This window comes from Homo sapiens, chromosome 12 (assembly GCF_000001405.40).
Source record: "Homo sapiens chromosome 12, GRCh38.p14 Primary Assembly".
Taxonomy (NCBI): domain Eukaryota; kingdom Metazoa; phylum Chordata; class Mammalia; order Primates; family Hominidae; genus Homo; species Homo sapiens.
In genome coordinates, this window is record NC_000012.12 from 78,333,575 (window position 1) to 78,353,457 (window position 19,883).

A 19,883-nucleotide genomic window follows, 5' to 3' on the forward strand; every position below is an offset into this window, starting at 1 on the left:
CGATATGATATGATATGATCATATAAGCAGACACTGGGATGAAGCAGCCACAAGCCCAGGAATGCCCACTGCCACCAGAAACTGGAAAAGGCAAGGAAGAGAATCTCATCTAGAGCCTCTGGAGGGAGCAGAGTGCTGCCTATACCTTGATTTCAAACTTCAGGCCTCCACAGCTGAGATAGCAAATTTCTGTTGTTTGAAGTGGCCTTAGGTGCAACCAAGTTTATAATTTGTTACAGCAGTCACACTACCTGACTCAAATGAACGTGTGGTTGCTGCTTTACCAGCATAACTCCCCGTGGGGAGAAGCAACTGGTTGGACATTGAGGAAGCCATCAGGGTGGCTTTGAGTTATTTCTGCTTGCTTTTGAAGACCCTCTTCTTTGGCTCATATGCATCATCCTGCTCCGAATACACAAATTTCAGCATCAGTGACATCCACTTTGCATTTACATTCTCCCGCCCTATCTTTGATCTCACTATCAATCCCAGGGTTTTATGTCAATAAAATATAGTTTTTTTCCCAATAAAATGTTATTTGTATTTCCTAAAATCTGAGTCTTTAAAATCAAAGCTCTTGCAACTTTTGTCCTTTTCTCAAAAAGTTAGATTTTACTTTTCATAGAAGAATGCCAATCAAATAGAATATATAGGAAAGAGGTGGCTGCCCAGTGCAATCTCTTCTGTTGCTTCTGTTTTTAGTGATCTGTGTATTTTTCCCCTGGTAATTGTCAATGCCTTTGATGGCTAGCCCCTGCCTTCCTCCTGAAAATCATAGCAGTCTGATTGAATAGTAACGGGTGGGTTTTTTTTTTTTTAAATGATATTTAGATTAAAGGCAATTAAGAGAAATTCTGGCCATGGAAAAGAGGAGCGAGATTGTGGTTTGTCTTCATAGCAACAAATATAATTTCTCAAGCATTATATGAAATAATTAGAAGAAATGGATTGCTTACTCATGTTTGCTTTCACATCAGGGGATATAGATATATCTGTAATTGCAATGCTTTAAGAAGGTATATAAGGATATAAATTCTCATGGCTTCATTCTTGGTCTCCTTATATGTAGAAATGTAGTGGCAGAAGTTAGACTTTAATATGTGGTAGGTGATAATATGGAGTTGTTCTAACAATAGTTTTGACTGTATATAGAACATGGAGCCTATTAGCTAAGAATGGACAAAAATTGACAATAAAATAGTTAAAATATCAAATATTAATAAGATATTTCAATACTATTTTTTGAAGCACTTGGTAAAAATCCCACTTATCTACGATGCAATTCTTCTGGAACTGCTCTCTTACATAATAGTTGGAAATTGTATTAATAGTCTCAAGCTTTTCTAAGTTTAAAGAGCAATCTTTGTAATAACTAAGCTCATGATGTTTGGGATCAGACAGGATTAAAAATTCTGGCTCTAGAATATATGCCTGTGTGTCATCTGACTTATTTATTTGTGCCTCACTTTCTACATCATCACTAGAATGGTAATATATACCTACCTCAAACAGTTGTGAAAAACCGAAGGAGGTGATGCATAGCAGAGTATCATTGTCTTAACAGTGCTCAATAAATGTGTTTTATTGCTATTTCTCTACATCAAAGCCCTAGAAATCCTGAACTATACTTTTTAGCACAAGACAAGAGAAGATTAAATGGAACATGTAAATTGGTATCAGTTAAGCATAACCTGCCCTGCTCGCAAGGTCTTGTCAACAATCGAGAAAAGCCACACACACTGGAAAAGGAATTGATTGAGACACAAAGGAAAATAGGATTTTTTTTTCATGGAGTCATGCCTAATTTAAATACTAATAAATAAAATTAGAGAATGAGTTAAAGTCAACTCAGGAAACTAACAGCATGAAAAAGTGTTGAATCAACAGAGGCCCCGAATTTATAAAAATTATGCTCTACTCCAATATAAAACATTAAATATAGTAAAGCATGACCACCTTTTTCCATATTTTTGTTTTTATTTTTATAGAATATTAAAATCAGATCAAAGGAAGAAGAAAAAAATGGCAATCAACAGAATTTCAGGTCTCAATGGGGGAATGAAGATAGTATATATAGATTAAGTTCTCATAAAATACTAGAAGGTAAGTACCAATACTCTCACTTAATGAGTGAATAAATTGAGGCTCAATGAGGTTAAATAAAGTGTCCAATATCCTTAAATTTTAAGTGGTTAAAAAAAATGGTTGTTTACTTTACCAAAGTCTAAGATTGAAGTGATGATAATCGATGAATAGAAACGCTGGGAAACAGTTTTAGCTGGTAGAACGAACCTTTCTTTTTCTTTCGTGCCCTAAATTTAGTTATCTTAATGTGTTTATAAATGTTCTAGATGGTGTTATGGGAAAGAAAAACAGAGTATACGCTTATATAGGGAGACACAAAAAAAATGAGAAGGAACTGTTTTCCCACCCTTGGAGTAAAGTTTCTAGGAAACAACTCAAAGTGGATGGAACTTTACTTCACCACGGCTAATCTCGGATGTTAGTTCAGCTATCCTGTTACTTTGCATAATTCAAGAATTTCGGCAATTAGGCTAACAGGTTGACTTTTCACACAGAGTGAGAAATCAAAAGAGGCTTTAAAAAAGCTGTGCTCTTAGCAAAAATTATATTTGAGAGGCAATAAAATAGCTTGCCATTAAAAAGATATATATCATTATATAAGAAAATCACTTAAAAATGGATTAAAAGCTTAAATCTATGGGCCAAAACTATAAAACTACCAGAAGAAAGCATTGAGGAAATACTCCAGGACATTGGTCTGGGCAAGGATTTCTTGAGTAAGATCTCAGAAGCACAGACAATCAAAGCAAAAATGGACAAAGGAGGATCACATAGTGCTAAAAGCTTCTGGGTAGCAAAGGAAATAACAAAGTGAAAAGAAAACTCCCAGAAAAAGAGAAAATACTTGCAAACTACCCATCAGACAGGTGATTAATAACCGAAATACATACAGCTCAACAGAAGACAACTAAACAAAACAAATAATCCAATTTTAAAAATGGGCCAAAGACCCAAATAGTCTTTTCTCAAAAGAAGACATAGAAATGGTCAACAGGTATATGAAAAAAATGCTCAACATCAGTAATCAGTAATCATCAGAAAAGTGTAAATTAAAGTACAATGAGATATCATCTCATCCCAGTTAAAATGACTTTCATCCAGAAAACAGGCAATAGCAAATGCTGGCAAGGTTATGGAGAAAAGCAAACCCTTGTACACTGTTGGTGGGAATGTAAATTAGTACAGGCACAATGGAGAACAGTACGGAGGTTCTTCAAAAAGCCGAAAATGGAGCTACATATGATCTAGCAATCCCACTTCTGGAGATAGATCCAAAAGAAAGGAAATCAGTATATTGAAGATATATCTGCACTCCCATTTTTATTGTTTATTGCAGGGCTATTCACAATCGCCAAAATATGTAATCAACCTAAGTGCTCACCAACGGATGAATGGATAAAGGAAATGTACATATACACAATGGAATATTATTCAGCCATAAAAAAGAACATAATCCTGTCATTTACAAAGAGATAGATGAAAATGGAGAACATAATGTTAAGTAAAATAAGCCAGGCTCATTAAGATAAATATTACCTGTTCTCACTAATATGTGGGACCCCCCAAAAATTGAACTAATGGAGATAGAGAGTAGAATGATGGTTATCCAAGTCTGGGAGGGTAGTGGGGGTGGAGAAATAAAGAGGAAGTGGTAAATGGGTACAAAAATAAAATTATATAGCATAAGATCTAGTGTTAGGAAGCACAGTGAAGTGAATATAGCTAACAAAAAATTGATTGCATATTTCAAAATAACTAAGTGTAATTAGATGTTCTTAGCACAAAGAAATCTAAATGCTTGAAGTGGTAGAGATAGCTCAAATTCTGATTTTATTAGTACACATTGTATGTTTGTATCAAAATACCACATGTACCTCACAAACACATGCAATTATTATATATCCCTAATAATAAGTTTTTTTTCAAAATTTGGGCATTAGCTACCTGGGGTTAGTGCACACCCCACAGGTTAAGAACTCAGTTCTGGCGGGGCACGGTGGCTCACGCCTGTAATCCCAGCACTTTGGGAGGCCGAGATGGGCAGATCATGAGGTCAGGAGATCAAGACCATCCTGGCGAACATGGTGAAACCCTGTCTCTACTAAAAATACAAAAATAAAATAAATTAAAAAAATAATTAGCTGGGCGTGGTGGTGGGCACCTGTAGTACCAGCTCCCAAGTACCAGCTACTTGGGAGGCTGAGGCAGGAGAATGGCGTGAACTCGCGACGCAGAGGTTGTAGTGAGCCAAGATCATGCCACTGCACTCCAGCCTGGGCCACAGAGCAAGACTGTCTCAAAAAAAAAAACAAAAAACAAAAAAAGACAACTCAGTTCCACAAGTAAAAAATAACACTTTTAAACTTGGGTTTTGGTGCATACCCTAAAGCACTTGGTTCCTAAAGTGTGGTCCCTATGCAAGCAGCAACAGCATCACTTGGGAATATTTAGAAATGCAAATTATCAGACCCACCTCTAGAACTGGAAACTCTGGGGATGTGGCCCAGCAATCTGTACTTTAATAAACCTTCCAAGTGATTCTGATGTAAGTTGAAATTTGAGAACCATGTCCCTGGAGTTTATAGACAAAGAATAAATAAAATGAATGAAAGAGGGAACAGCCTACAGATTCTATTGTGGGAGTTAATTGTTCCAAGAAAGAAAGTGAAACAGTGATATAAAACATAGAGAAAGCTAATTAAAATATACATATAGTTAGGAGGCCAGGTGCAGTGGCTCATGCCTGTAATCCCAGCACTTTGGGAAGTCAAGGCAGGCAGATCACTGGAGGTCAGGAGTTCCAGACCAGCCTGGCCAACATGGTGAAACCCTATCTCTACTAAAAAAAAAAAAAATTAGCTGGCATGGTGGCATGCCTGTAGTCCTAGCTACTCACAGGCTGAGGCAGGAGGATTGCTTTACCCCGGGAGACCTTTAACCGGGAGAGGTTGCAGTGAGCAGAGATTGTGCCACTGCATACCAGAGTGAGACTGTCTCAAAAAAAAAAAAATTAGGAAATGAATTATAAATACAATCAGGGCTCCAAAGGTAGGCACTTGTCTTTTTAGCAACCCATTGCAGAGGAATTCAGAGGCAAGGCTCACAAAAAAAAAAAATAAATCAATCAATCAACAATCAAAACTCAGAGAAATTCAAAGGAGACACTGTGCCCACATATTCCATCCCACTACAGGATAACCAAGTACAGAAATCTGAGATACTTCAGAGAATTGTGACAGTGGTGAGTGTAAGCATACACCTCTGCCATCTGCTGATATGCACTGTGATGTATCTGGATTATGGTCCTCAGACCCTTCCTCTAGCCCCAGGATAAATTTGTAAGATGCTTGAGGAGCAATGCAAACATTACTTGGGTGTCATTGTCTTCTGCTGGCCCTTGGCTCAATCCGGCATGCACCTGAGCCTAATTTCCCATCACTTTGTGAAAATGTTGTTCACATGTTTCTATTTTCTTCAGTCAGCACCCATCGGGGAGTGGAGCTCTTTGGAATAAATGCTGACTAGTTGGGGCATCTGAGAAAAATGTAGTTTTGGTGCTGGAGTTCACAGCATGTCAAAGCAGAAGTGACAGAAGAATCAAGAGCAAACCAGAGCTCTTGAGTCTAATCTGAACTTTTTACTTTTCAGATGAGGAAATGTAACAATGAAGAAATTAAATGATAGAAATGAGATCATACATTAACAGAATACAAGTTCATATTTCAGGCCTTAATTAACTCAGCTAATACTGATTAAGCATCCGTTAAGTGCTAGGCACTAGGTGAACAATGATCAAGAAAATAGTCTTTGCTCTTCAAACTCTTGCCACATGTTGGACAGGTTAGATAAGAGAAGAAGCAATTGTATGTAATTTGATTATTTTTAAGATTAAAAAAAGCCTATGGTGCTACGTAAGCATGTGAGTGGGTCACCAAAGTCAACCTTGGAGGGTGTTAACAACTACTGTGGACCAGTAATGATTCAGTGCTTTCTTTTCATCCTCTTTTTGGAAGTGAGTTATTTTGCCATTACTCTATGCTTACCTCACCTTTGTATATTGGGTGTGTAGGGGGCAGATAACTAAAGAAAATTTTTGGTTTGTATGTCTTCAGATTCAGTCAAACTGCATTTGTGGAACTGCACTGTGGAATTTCACCTGAGGAGCCCCATCTGTATGAGGGGCTGATTTAGCAGAGAGGTTCTGGATTTCAAGCCAATGCCATTATGTGATGAGATTTTGAGGCTCCTGGAAAGAGGGTGAGTATATTTTGCACATGGGGAGAATGTGATTACAGTGGCCAGTGGAAGGGCAGGCTATGGTTATTAATTTGCAAAATGGTAACTACTAAGTCCTTCTCCATTGGTATGTACATGCAAATCACTACCTGAAGAAATGGGATTTAATTCCTGTCAGATCTCAGGGTCCAGGTCCAGCCCATGCTGAAGTCTGAGGGGAGTGGGGTGGGTGGATGATCAGAAAGAACACCTGGGGGCCGGTTGGGGGGTGAGGGTGAGGGTGAGGGTGGAGGCGTAGGCAGGTGAAAGATAGTTGTATTTAGCAGCAGCTCTCATTAACAGTTTTCTTACTCTAGCTCTCTTAGAAGCAACTTTTCTTACACTGTCCACCTTTATCTTGGCTGTTTGCTCTGGCTCTGCGGCTCCTGCTGCCCCTGTGCCTGCAGTTGCATGGCTGGCTCTCCCCTGCCTTCAGGGTCAGCAGCTTAACTCTTTCTCTGGGCACGAGGTAGCCAAACTGTGTCCTGGGCCCCTCCTCTTTGGCTCTCTTTGATGCTCTCTCTAGGTATCAGCACCTGCACAAGAGCCACGTTGAGCCGAGCTAAGCCCCAAGAGCCATGTCTCTTGTGCACAGCGTCAACAGGGCAGTTATACCTTTTACAGACCATAGTGGCTCAGAGCCAAGCATGAACCTACACAAACAGGTTATGTAACAAATGGAGGTGTGCATCTGCACGCCAAATTCACTGAGTCATGTAAGCCTGGATATCTGCTTCAGCCTCTTCCTTGACCAAAGCACATCCATGTACCCTTCCATTAAATCTGGATTACTCTGAGTAACCTGCTTGGGTAATAAAATACAGCAGAAGTAACATTCAGGGACTTCTAAAGTTAGTTTATAAGAAACATTATTGCTTCCATCTGGGCCTCTGGGAACACTCCTGTTTGAGAAGCTTCCTCTTGCAACCCAGTCATAATGCTTCAAGAACCTAAGCCACACATAGTGGCCATAGTTGACAGTTCTAGCTGACCCTCCTGCCTACAGCCAGCAGCTGCCAGCTATCTTTGAAATCCAGCCTAGGTGGGTCTTCAGATGACTGCAGCCCCAGCCAGCACCTACTTGCAGTAGAGTAAGAGACCCCAAAAGAGAACTGCCCAGCTGTGCCCACTCATCCTGCAGAGGCAGGAAAGACAATAATAACCCATTTTAAGCCTTCAAGTTTTGGGATGGTTCATTATGTAGCAACAGGTACCTGAAACACCACCTTATAGGTAAGAAAGCAGAGGACTAAAGACATTAAGTAACCTGCCAAAAGTCACAGAGTAAGTCATAGAACCGAAATTTGAAGATTTTAACTCATATTTTATTTCATTGCAGAGTATTCTCTCTTACTGACTATATTTTATTTGTTTCCATTGTCAACATTTTTGGTGGTTGCCTTGTGACCTTGATCAAGCCTGATTCTTCATATGTGAAATGAGGCTAATAAGTACACTCAGCCTAAAATTTTTGTGCATAAATGTGTGAGGTTAAATAACTTGTCATGTATTATACAACCAGCAAATGGTAAAGCCAGAATTTGAACATAACATACTAATTCTTAAATTTAAGTTAACCATTTATACAATATTGCCCCCTAATAGCTATAGAATAAATCCCCAGTGCACCGTCACTCTTTCAAGTGTATTTTCATAAACTTCAGCAACTATCAGTGTAATGAAATTCAGAGGAAACAGAAATTCCTGTAGTAGTGGTTTGGAAGTGCTTAAACCATCCCTGAAGAGAAGATCAAGATAGGGGATCTCTTTAGTCTCTCTCTGTTTCAATAACGGTTATTGAAATGGAATATAGATGTGGTAAGATTAACTCCTTCAAAGTATACAATTCAATGTTTTATTTCACAGAAGTGTGAAACCATCACCACTATTTAATTACAGAACTTTCATCCTTCTCCAAGGAAACCTTGAACCAATTATTTATCAACCCCCATTCTCCTCTCTCCCTTTAGTCTCTTTTTTCAAATTAAAAAAATTACCTTTTCTCTTCTCCTTAAAAATATTAATAGATATTTAAGAGCTATTAGAATGTAAGGGTCTTGAATACATGGATTGAATGTCATTTAATTATGACTGTGTCTGCTGTAGCTAGCACATAGCAATGGCATTCAAAACACATTTGCTGCATGCAAATATGTGTCCTGTGCCTGACTGATCTTTCTTTCTATGGCCAAAAATAAAGTAATAGAATAATAATGTAAAGTAGTATAATAGTAGAATTATTTATAATTCAGAATGAAAGTATCTGTTGAAACCCTAATTGGAAAAGAGGTTTTTCCAGTTAAGCACATACAAGGGACCAGTTGCACCATTACTGTACCTCCCCTTCCATGCAATATGCATTAATAGCCACCGTAGAGATAAGACATTTCCGATCCTTCATCAGTGAAGCTATGTTGAGGTGTTGGAGTTGGGAACTACAAAGGAGACATATTTCCCTGTACTATGGCTAGCACAGACATTATCATGAACTAAATTGTGTCACTCCTAATTCATATGTTGAATCCCTACCCCCCAATGTGACTATTTTTGGAGATAGGACCTTTAAAGAGATAATTAAGGTTAAGTGTGGTTATAACGGTAAGGCCCTAATTCAATTTAACTGTTGTCTCTATAAGAAGAAGAAGAGACACTAGAGATGTGGGTACATAGAACAAAAGCCATGAGAGGTCATGGGCCAGCAGAAAGTCACATGCAAGCCAAGAAGAGAAGCTTCAAAGATACCACCAAATCTGCCAGCAACTTGATTTTGGAATTTTTTCCCTGTGGGGAAAATTATGTTATTTAGGCCACGAAGTCTGTCGTATTCAGTTATGGCAGCCTGAGCAAACTAATACAGGAAACCTGAGGGCATATCAGAGGAGTATAGCATTGTTGCTGTCTTCAGAGACATTCTAGACAGCCACATTTCCCAAACTATGTGAGCCATTATGGCTTCCCAATATGGCTAGAAATATTCAGGATGCAGCCTCATTCCTTAGCCTTCAGATAAAATTTGAGTAAATCCTTCCGTTTCTCACTGGAAACTTCATAGGTTTTCATCTCTGGGGCTCTGTTATTTTACGTGAGTTAAGAAGAACATATTGCAAGGGTTTTTAATTCTTTAAACTATGCTTTTAATTATGAAATAGCTATAGAGAACTTCTGATTCCAAAATGGCGGTGTAGAAGCAAACTGGCCTCATTCCCCAACATGGAAAACAGAAAAATACACAATGCCAAGATTATCACCAGTGATATTCTACAACTCGCATGTGAGGATCAGTCAGTTCCTGGAGCTGCAAAGCAGTGAAAATATTCTGAACAAATGGTAAGAGAATCAGACTTCATAGCCACGTTGTACCTCCTTCCAATCTGTCCAGCACCAAGCAAATAGAGAATTGACACCTGACTCATGATTTCTACACTGGAAAATGTGAGATTGAGGTGGAGAATCAGCTTGTTCACCATCTTGGGTTACAAGGCGGAAGACCTGTCACTGCCTCAATCCATAGGAAGCATCACAAAGGGAGACATATTCCTGAAGACAATCAGAGACAAAGGGGAGAGGTAGGACTAACATTCCAAGATCTAGAAATTACTATGTAGCTTGGCTAAAGGAGACACCAGATCAGAGTGTTGGTTCAGCAGGAGAACAATATAAGAGGTGTGTCCTACGATCCTATGAGTACAATCCCCTAGCTGGCCTTCCCACACTGATGGACTATTCTCTTTGTGACCACCTTCATTCAGGACAGGCAGCAATGGAGGAAAACCTGGGCTTAGATGCTGTCTGGTGCCAAAAAAGAAGCAGTTCCCTAGTAGTGGGGGGGATGGGAGGAGAAATTCAACAGGTAAATTACAGAGAATCTCTAAGCAAACATAACAGTAAAAAAACAAGCCACAGAGAGAAGACTGGAGGAAATGACTAATCCTTTCATACAAATACATAGATGTATATCCACAAGAAACAGCAGTAGGGAACCATGGCCTCCCCAAATGGACAAAACTAGGAACCAGTGACTGATTCTAATGAGACAATGATATGTTAGCTCCTGTACAAGAATTCAAAATAACAGTTTTAAGGGACAAAACTATATCCACGATAACACAGAAAAGCAATTCAAAAATTTACCAAAGATATTTAACAAATAAATTGAAATAATAAAACAGAAATTTTGAGACTGATAAATACATTTGCTGAACTGAAAAATTTATTGGAGTCTCTCATCAGCTAGTTGAATCAAACAGAGGAAAAAAAAAGTGAGCTTGAAAACAGACTATTTGAAAATACTGTCAAAGAGAGAAAAAAAAATAAAAAAGAACGAAGGACCACCTAAAAAATAGAGAAAATTACCTCAAAAGACAAAATCTAAAAATTATTGGCATTTAAGAGTCAGATGAGGAAGAAAAGGGGTAGAAAACTTATTCAAAGAAATAATAATTAAAAAACTTTCAAAACTTGAGTATGATATAAATACCCAGGTACAGGAAAGTCAGAGAATACCAAACAGGTCTGACCTAAATAAGACTACCACAGGGTATATAATAATCAAACGCTCAAAGGTCAAACAAAGAGAAGATTCTAAGAATGCAGCAAGAGAAAAGAACTACATAGCGTAAAAATGAGCTCCAATTCATCTGGCAACAGACATCTCAAGGGAAACCATAGAGTCCAGGAGAAAGTAGGATGATATTTTCAAAGTGCTGAAAGAAAAAAACTACCATTCAAGAATTCTGTATCCAGCAAAGCTATTTAAAATATAAAGCAGTGATAGTCTTTTCCAGACAAAGAAATGTTGAGTAAATTCACCACCACCAGACCTGTCTTACAAGAAATGATAAAGGTATTTTTTCAATCTGAGAGAAAACAAAAATTAATATGCAAAAAGAATGCATTTGAAGGTATAAAACTGGTAAAATTAAGTAAAGGATAATGTGAGACTATTTCAATACTGTAATTGTGGTAGGCAAGGCACTCATGACTCTAGTATAAAGCCTAAAAGATAAATCTATAAAAATGTTAGTTACAGCAGCCTATTAAAAATAGGTAATATAAAAATATGTAAATTGATAAAAAATGTAAGGGGTATAAAACTAAAATGTACAGTTTTATTTTTAGTTTTTTTCTTTGTTTCCATTTTTTGTGATCTAAGATGTCATCTCTTTAAAATAACTTTTTATAACCGTAAAATTACTTTTGTAAGCTTTTTGGTTAAAACAGTGAAAAAACTAATAATCGATAGACTAAAAATGTAAAAAGAAACAAAACATACTGCCAGGAAAAATTACCTAACCACAAAGGAAGATGGTAAGAAAGGAAGAAAGAGAATTTACAAAATGATCAGAAAACAAACAACAAAATGGCAGTAGTAAGTCCTTACCTATCAGTAATAAAACTGAATGTAAACAGGCTCAAATATCCAACTAAACAACATAGAGTCACTGAATAGATAAACAGGTATCAGCTACATGCTGCCTATAAGAAACCTATCTCACTTTAAAGACACACATAGACAAACTCAAGGGATGCAAAAAGATACCTGATGCAAGTAGAAACCAGAAAAGAGAGGGAATTGCTATACTTATATAAGATAAAATTGATTACAAGTCAAAGACTATCAAAAAAATAGATGGCTATATAGTGATAAAGGGGTCAATTCAGCAAGAAGATACAATTATAAATATCTATGCACATAATACTAGAGTTCCCATGTATATAAAGTAAACATTAATAGATCTAAGGAAGGGATAGTCTGTACTACAGTAATCGGGAACTTCAACATTCTACTCTCAGTAATGGACAGGTCATTCAGTCAGGAAATCAGCAAAGAAACATCAGAGTTAAACAATATACTAGGCTAAATAGGCCTACCTGACATTTACAGAACATTTCACCGAATTGCTGCAGAAAACACATTTTTTTGTATCACCACATGGAACATTCTCGAGAGTAGACCAAATATTAGGCCATAAAATGAGTCTCAATTTTTTTAAAAGTAGAAATCATATCAAGTATCTTTTGTGACCACAATGGAATAAAACCAAAAAGCAATAACAAGTTGAACCTCACAAACTATACAAACACATAAAAATTAAACAATATACTGCCAAATTACCAATATATCAATGAAGAAAATAGGAATATTAAACATTTATTGAAACAAATGAAAATTGAAATACAACATACCAAAATCTATGGGATAAAGCAAAAGTAATAGAAGGAAGTCTAAAACAATAAATGCCTACATTACAAAAGTTAAAATACTTCAAATAACTGAATGATACACCTCAAGAAACTACAAAAGCAAAAAGAAAACTGTTCAAAATTAGTAGAAATCAAATAATAAAGAATAAAGCAAAAATAAATTGAGACTATCAAAAATACAGAAGATCAACATAACAAAAAGTTTTTTTTGTAAAGATTGACAAAGCTTTAGTTAGACTAACAAAAAAGAGAAGACTCAAAATCAGACAAAAAGACATAAAAATTGTTATACTATTATGAACAAGGATATATCAGCAAATTGGAAAACCTAGAAGAAATGGATAAATTCCTGGACACATACAACCTATCCAGATTGAATAATGCAGAAATAGAAAATCACAACAAGCCAATAATTAGTAATGACATTTAAGCCTTAATAAAAAGTCTCCCATCAAAGATAAGCCCAGGACCTGATAGCTTTGCTGTTGAATTCTATCAAACATTTTACCAATATTAATCAAACTCTTCACAAAAATTGAAGAGGAGGGAATACTTTCAAACTCATTCTATGAGGCCAACATCATCCTGATATCAAAACCAGACAAGGACACAACAATAAATGAAAACTAAAGGCCAATGTTACTGGTGAACATAGATGCAAAAATCCTCAGCAAAAATACTAGCAAAATGAATTCAACAATACATTAAAAAGATAATTCACCATAATCAAGTGAATTAATCTCAGGCAGACAAGGATGGTTCAATACATGCAACTCATTGAATATGATACATCACATTAACAGAACAAAGAAACAAACATCATTTCAATATATGTGGAAAAGTCATCTGATAAAATTCAACATCTCTTTATAATAAAAACCTTGAAGAACCTGGTATAAAAGAAACAGCCAACATCCTACTGAGTGAGTAAAATTGAACGCCTTTCCTGTAAAACAAGGGTGCCATTTTCATCACTTTTATTCAATGTGATACTGGAAGTCCTGGCTAGAGCAATTAGGCAAGAGAAAGAAAAGGTATACAAATTAGAAAGGAAGAAGTCAAATTAGGCTTATATGCAGATGAAATGATATTATATTTTTTAAAAATGTAAATGCTCCATCAAAAACCGGTAAAACTGATGAACAAATTCAGTAAAACTGCAGGATACAGAATTAATATATAAAAAATAGTAGCATTTTTACACTTTTTTAGATTTATAATCTGGAAAAGAAATCAAGAAAGCAATCTCATTTACAGTAGCTAAAAGGAGTATAAAATACTTTGAATCAGTTTGACCAAAGACATGAAAGATCTATACAAGAAAAACTATAAAAGAGAGATGAAAAAAATTGAAGAGGACACAGGAAAATGGAAAGTATTCCATGCTCATGGATTGGAATAATTAATATTGTTAAAATTACAGTACCATCCAAAGCAAGTTATAGATGCAATGCAATTCCTGTCAAAATACCAATGACATTCTTTACAGAAATAGATATTTTAAAAAAAAATTTATAGGAACCACAAAAGATCCCAAATAGTCAAAGCAACCCTGAGCAAAAAGAACAAAATATCACATTACCTGACTTCAAAGCACCTTACAAAGCTATAGTAACCAAATCAGCATGGTATTGACATTAAAACAGACACATAGATCAATGGAACAAAATAGAGGACCCAGATATAACTCCACACATTTATTTTTTTCAATTCATTTTTTTACAAAGACACCAAAGACAAACAATGGAGAAAGTCTCTTCAATAAATGATGCTGAGAAACATGTCTAATCATCTGTAGAAAAAATGAAAATAGACATTTATCTCTCACTAAATGCAAAAATCAAATCAAAATTGATTAGAGACTTAAATCTCACACCTGAAACTATATAACTACTTGAAGAAAACTTTGGGGAAATGCTCCAAGACACTGGTCTGGGCAAAGATGTTTTTTGTGTAAGACCATAAAAGCATAGGCAACAAATGCAAAAATAAAAAAAAAATGGAATTGCATCAAGCAAAATCCCTCTGCACGGAAGAGGAAACAATTAACAGAATGAAGAGACAACCCATAGAATGGGAGAAAAAAATGTGTATATATATCCATCTGGCAATGAATTTACGAGAATGTATAAGAAGCACAAACAACTAAATAGCCAAGAAACAAACTGATTTTTAAATGAGCAAAAGATGTAAAAAGACGTTTTTATAAAAAAAAGACATACAAATGACTAATAGATATATAATAAGATGCTCAACATTACTAATTATCAGAGAAATACAAATTAAAATCACAATGTGAGATAGCTCACTCCACTTAGAATGGCTTTTATCAAAAAGGGAATAGCACAGGCTGGCAAGGTTGTTGAGAAAGGAGAGTCCTCACTACATTGTTGGTGGGAATGTAAGTACATCCACCATGAAAAACAGTATGGAATTTCCTTACAAAACTAAAAATAGGACTACCACATGATCCAGCAATTCCACTACAGGGTATGCGACCAAAGAAAGGAAATCAATATATCAAAGAGATAGCTGAACTCCTGTGTTTATGACAGAGCTATTCACAATAGCCAGGCTAGGGAATCAACCTAGATGCCCACCAATGGATAAATGGACAAAGCAAATATTACACACACACACACACACACACACACACACACACACACACACACACACACACACACACAGAATGAGAATAGAATATTACTCGGTCACTAAAAAGAATAAAATTATGTCATTTACATCAACATGGATAGAACTAGAGGTTATTTATGCTAAATGACCATAGCCAAACATAGCATGTTCTCATTTTATCTGTTGGCTAAAAGAGTGGATCTCATGAAGATAGAAAGTAGATTTTGGTTACCAGAGAACAGGAAGCATAGATGAGGGAATAAATAGAGGTTGATTAACGAGGCTATGTAAAGAAACAAGACCTAGTATTTGATAGATGAGTAGGATGACTCTAGTTAATAATATCTAGTCTACATTTTAAAAATAGGGAACAATGTGACTATTCCTAGCATAAAGAAAAGATAAATATTTAAGGTGATGAATATCCCAATCACCTTGATTTGATCTTTGCACATATTTGAATGTATTGAGTTATCACATGCTCCCCAAAACACATCAATTATATATCAATAAAAAATGAAAGAAATAGGCATATAAGGTACATCCTAGGGTTTCAGTGCAGGTGTATATTAAATAACTGAATGCAAAACTATGTATGATTCATACAAACTGAGGAATACTATGGGGCAGTTGTATTTTTAACGATGACGTGAACGTTTTTGTGGGTGAAATATGAACTGAAAACCTTAAAAAATATCCACCAGATATTGTGAATAAAGGATGCCATCCTTACAATAGAAACTTTGCAGAATTTTGAAATAACTTAATCATTAAGCTTTGAAAATACTGTAGTGTTCAAGCTTATATAATAAAACCAGAGGCAGTTAAGAGCTGAAAGTACATGGTAAACAAAGCAGCAAAATAGAAGACAGAAACAAATCAGTGAGGCAAAGAGTTTACAATGAAAGTACAATGAGTAGGTAAAATTACAATTTGTATCTTTTTAGCTGTCAGCGTTTCAACATTTAGTACACCATATTTAGCAAAATGTTCAATACACTTTCAAAAATGACAAAAGCTACTATGTACCTACAGATCTATAATTCTAGAGATGAGCACGATGGAAAATAATAGCTTTTATGTACCATTCCTAAAGATTGTCAATTTTCAGGGGTGCAAAGCTTGTCAAGGATGTCTTTTACTAAATTATTTGCAGTAAAGTTTTGCTAAAGTTGGAAATAATTGCTATTAAATCCTAGTTCTGATAAATCATTCTGGTAGAGTGTGAGGTTTGAAAATAATGGAGAAGGACCATTGCAATTCCTAACCTGTAAAGGAATATCAAAACTCCAATTCCCAGAAAAGGAAGCAGGGTCTGAGTGATTTAATGATTTAGTGAGTGTCACCTAATAATAGGAAATACAGAATTCAATTCCAGGCATGTCTAATCGCAAAGCAAGGACATTTTCCCACTATATCTGCCATATGGCCAGAATGTTCTTATGTTTCTTAGGTATTATTAAATTGTCAAAGGACTCCTGAATCAAAACTATGCAGGAGGTATTGAAATTGCCTCTTAAACCACTAGATTACAGAGCAGTTTGAATAGCAACACCAAAAGATAGAAAATATTCACCATAAGATTGTATTGTTCTCTCTTCAAAGATTCCTGTGTGGTACCTATCTGTTCTCTCTCTCTCCCCGGCTTTCTCATTCATTCATTCATATATATATGTATATCTATTCATATATATAAACATATACATATATATTCATATATATACACATATATACATATATTCATATATGTTCATATATATACATATATACATATATTCATATATATACATATATACATATATTCATATATACATATATTCATATATATACATATATATGTATAAAATCTCTAATAGTCTCACATGCTGAAAGTGCTTGGCATCAAAATCGGCATTTCTAGCCTATCTAAATAGACACAACTGATTGAAAACAAATCTACATCCATCCTCTTCTTAACAATTTCCCATTGAGGAGAGGGATGGGGACCTTGAAAAAATCTTTTTTTGGAGTGGAGACCTTAACAGTTTAAAAACATTTGTGTTTCTCAATGTTTCTTGGCATCAAGCTCCTCATATCCCCAGAGGGTTGGTTAAGGGAAAATACTGTCGTTTCTCATAAGGAATAAAGCCAGAAAGTTCAGAATTTTTAGCTCTATGTAAATATTCAATATATCAGCAAACATTTATCATACTACAACCTAGATCAGTGTTATAGTGTGATTAGTGAAAACGTATGCCAAATAATGAGAAAGAAGAGATAATTATTGATTTCATTCTTTTTCTACTCATCGGCAAATACTTGTCCATAATGTAGGAATTATAATCTGGATTCTGCAGCATAAGACATAGCAGATATGGTAAACTGTCCACTCACAGTTAATGACTCCCTCTTTTTTACTAACATATTCCAAATTTGTTCTAGGTGGCCCTATGCCGAGTTCAAGTATTTGCCTTCTGAGACTCCTTTTTAGTGATGGGGTAGCCATGTGACATGGGTAGCATGAGTGGCAGACGTCTACTGAGGGGAAGGGGGCTTATGGGAAAAATCTCCATTATCTCTATTAAAAATGGTAGTCATACTGATATGTCCCTTTTACCCTTTTGTGTGTTCATGGCAGCTATCTAAAAACCATTAGGATGACAGACCCACAATAAGGATGACAAAGTAAAACAAAACAAAAACAGACAGGAGTCTGGCCTTGTGAAGGGGATACTCCAGTCTTGATTTATTCCCTTATTCTCTTCCTAGACATTTTATTGGGTGAAAAAAATAAACCTGATTTGATTAAAGAAAGTGTTACTATATGAGGTTACATTCAATCCCTGAAGTGATTTACATATTGATACTCAGCAAGATCAGGTATTGGTCATTATCAGTGATTCTAGGTCAACCTGAGTGACAGTTCAGGTGATAGTTCGCAGAACTCTTGTCTATTTTATTTGATATTTTTATTGATGACCTAATTAAATGAATCAAAATTCAATAATTTTATTTATAAATAATAAAAATGATACAGTCCCATAAAAACATAATGGATTCAAAAGGAGTAGAAATATCAACAAATAAGTCTTAATAATAAAGTTGGTAATTTATAGTAGCAAAGAAATAGCTACAGTAGAGCATTTTTGTCAATCATTAGGTAAATATGATTATTACTGTGGTTCTGGGGTTAACAGCTAACCATATTAACCAGGCTATTAAGTTAAATATGCCGTAGTATTACATGTAGGGGTTGCAACATAATTCTTCCATCCTAATTTGCATTATGTAAACACTTCTTATACACTATATGTGCATATTTGATCATTACATTTTAAAGAAATGCTGAGAAATTAGATAGCATCTAGAGAAAATGACAGTGACATAATGATTAAAGGGCTGAAAAGTAAGTCTTACAAAAAAGGTTAAAATAATTGGCATTTAGCCTGGAAAGGAGCAAAATGATTACTACCCTCAAATTGTATGTTAAGTCCTTTTTTTCTCTTGATGTGATACTGAGGTAGACTGAAAAAACAAAAAACAACCGAATAACCTTTCAGAGGACTATTACCTATTCAATACAAATGTGTAGTTTTTGAAAGCTGCTATGAACCAGGCCCTAGACCAGGTAAATAAATCGTAGTTCTTTCCTTTACGAATTTCACAGACTTGATACAGGGTGAGGATGGTTGTATTCCTTAGAATAAAGGCTAAGTTGCTTTTACAACTTAGTACTATAAAACTGGATTTTTTTTTTTTTTTCAGTTAATAGTCCAGTCAGTCAGAGCTGGTGAAGTAGACTTGCTGTAGAAGGTGTGAAGGCCCAGTCCTCCCTCCACGTTTCTCCACCCTTGAAAGGTCGTGTGCATGTCTGTTCACCCATGAAAGAAGAGGAAGACACCAAATGGATGGCATTGATTTCATTTTAAGTAAGTGAGGAGTAAGTTACCATTAAGCTCAACATTCCATTGTTCTGAATTTAGTCATATTAGCATGCCCAGCTGCAAGGAGGGTTGGGAAATATTGCCTCTAGCTGAGCAGTCATATATTCAGATACAATCATTTTATTATGGAAGACAGAAAAATGAGGCCGGCTGCAGTGGCTCACGCCTGTAATCCCAGCACTTTGGGAGGCTGAGGCGGGCAGATCACGAGGTCAGGAGATCGAGACCATCCTGGCTAACATGGTAAAACCCCGTCTCTACTAAAAATACAAAAAAATTAGCCGGGCATGGTGGCGGGTGCCTGTAGTCCCAGCTACTCGGGAGGCTGAGGCAGGAGAATGGCGTGAACCCGGGAGGCGGAGCTAGCAGTGAGCTGAGATCGCACCACTGCACTCCAGAGCCTGGGCGACAGAGGAAGACTCCGTCTCAAAAAAAAAAAAAAAAAAAAAAAAAAAAAAAAAAAAAGAAAAGAAAAATGTTGGGAAACAACTAACAGTTTTCCACAGATATAAAATATTAGCATATCAGTATTTTCATTCTTAAAAATTATCTGGAGAGCAACTAACAATGCCGCTGGATAATTAAGTTATACATTTTCTACAATCAGAAGGGCGAGAAGAATCAACTCTCTAGATCTCGCATACACTATGGTATATATATAAGCATTGGAGTTGTATTTTAGTCATTTCTGACTACTCGTTTTTAAAATCTTTTAGTCCCTGAGGATTTCTATCTGTGCAGATGTATAGACAATCTGACATT

At 35.9% G+C, this 19,883-nt stretch overlaps 2 long non-coding RNA genes across 2 annotated transcripts in view; one reads left to right on the top strand and one right to left on the bottom strand.

Annotated features, from left to right (window-relative positions):
• The window catches only part of LINC02424 (long intergenic non-protein coding RNA 2424), a 33,067-nt gene that overhangs the window by 6,895 nt on the left and 6,289 nt on the right, over nucleotides 1-19,883 (bottom strand). The gene's annotated exons all lie outside the window — the stretch shown is intronic.
• LOC105369859 (uncharacterized) lies at nucleotides 1,995-19,112 on the top strand. The gene is made up of 3 exons (XR_945130.2): nucleotides 1,995-2,103; nucleotides 6,198-6,342; nucleotides 18,943-19,112. It is a non-coding gene; the product is annotated as an uncharacterized LOC105369859 (long non-coding RNA).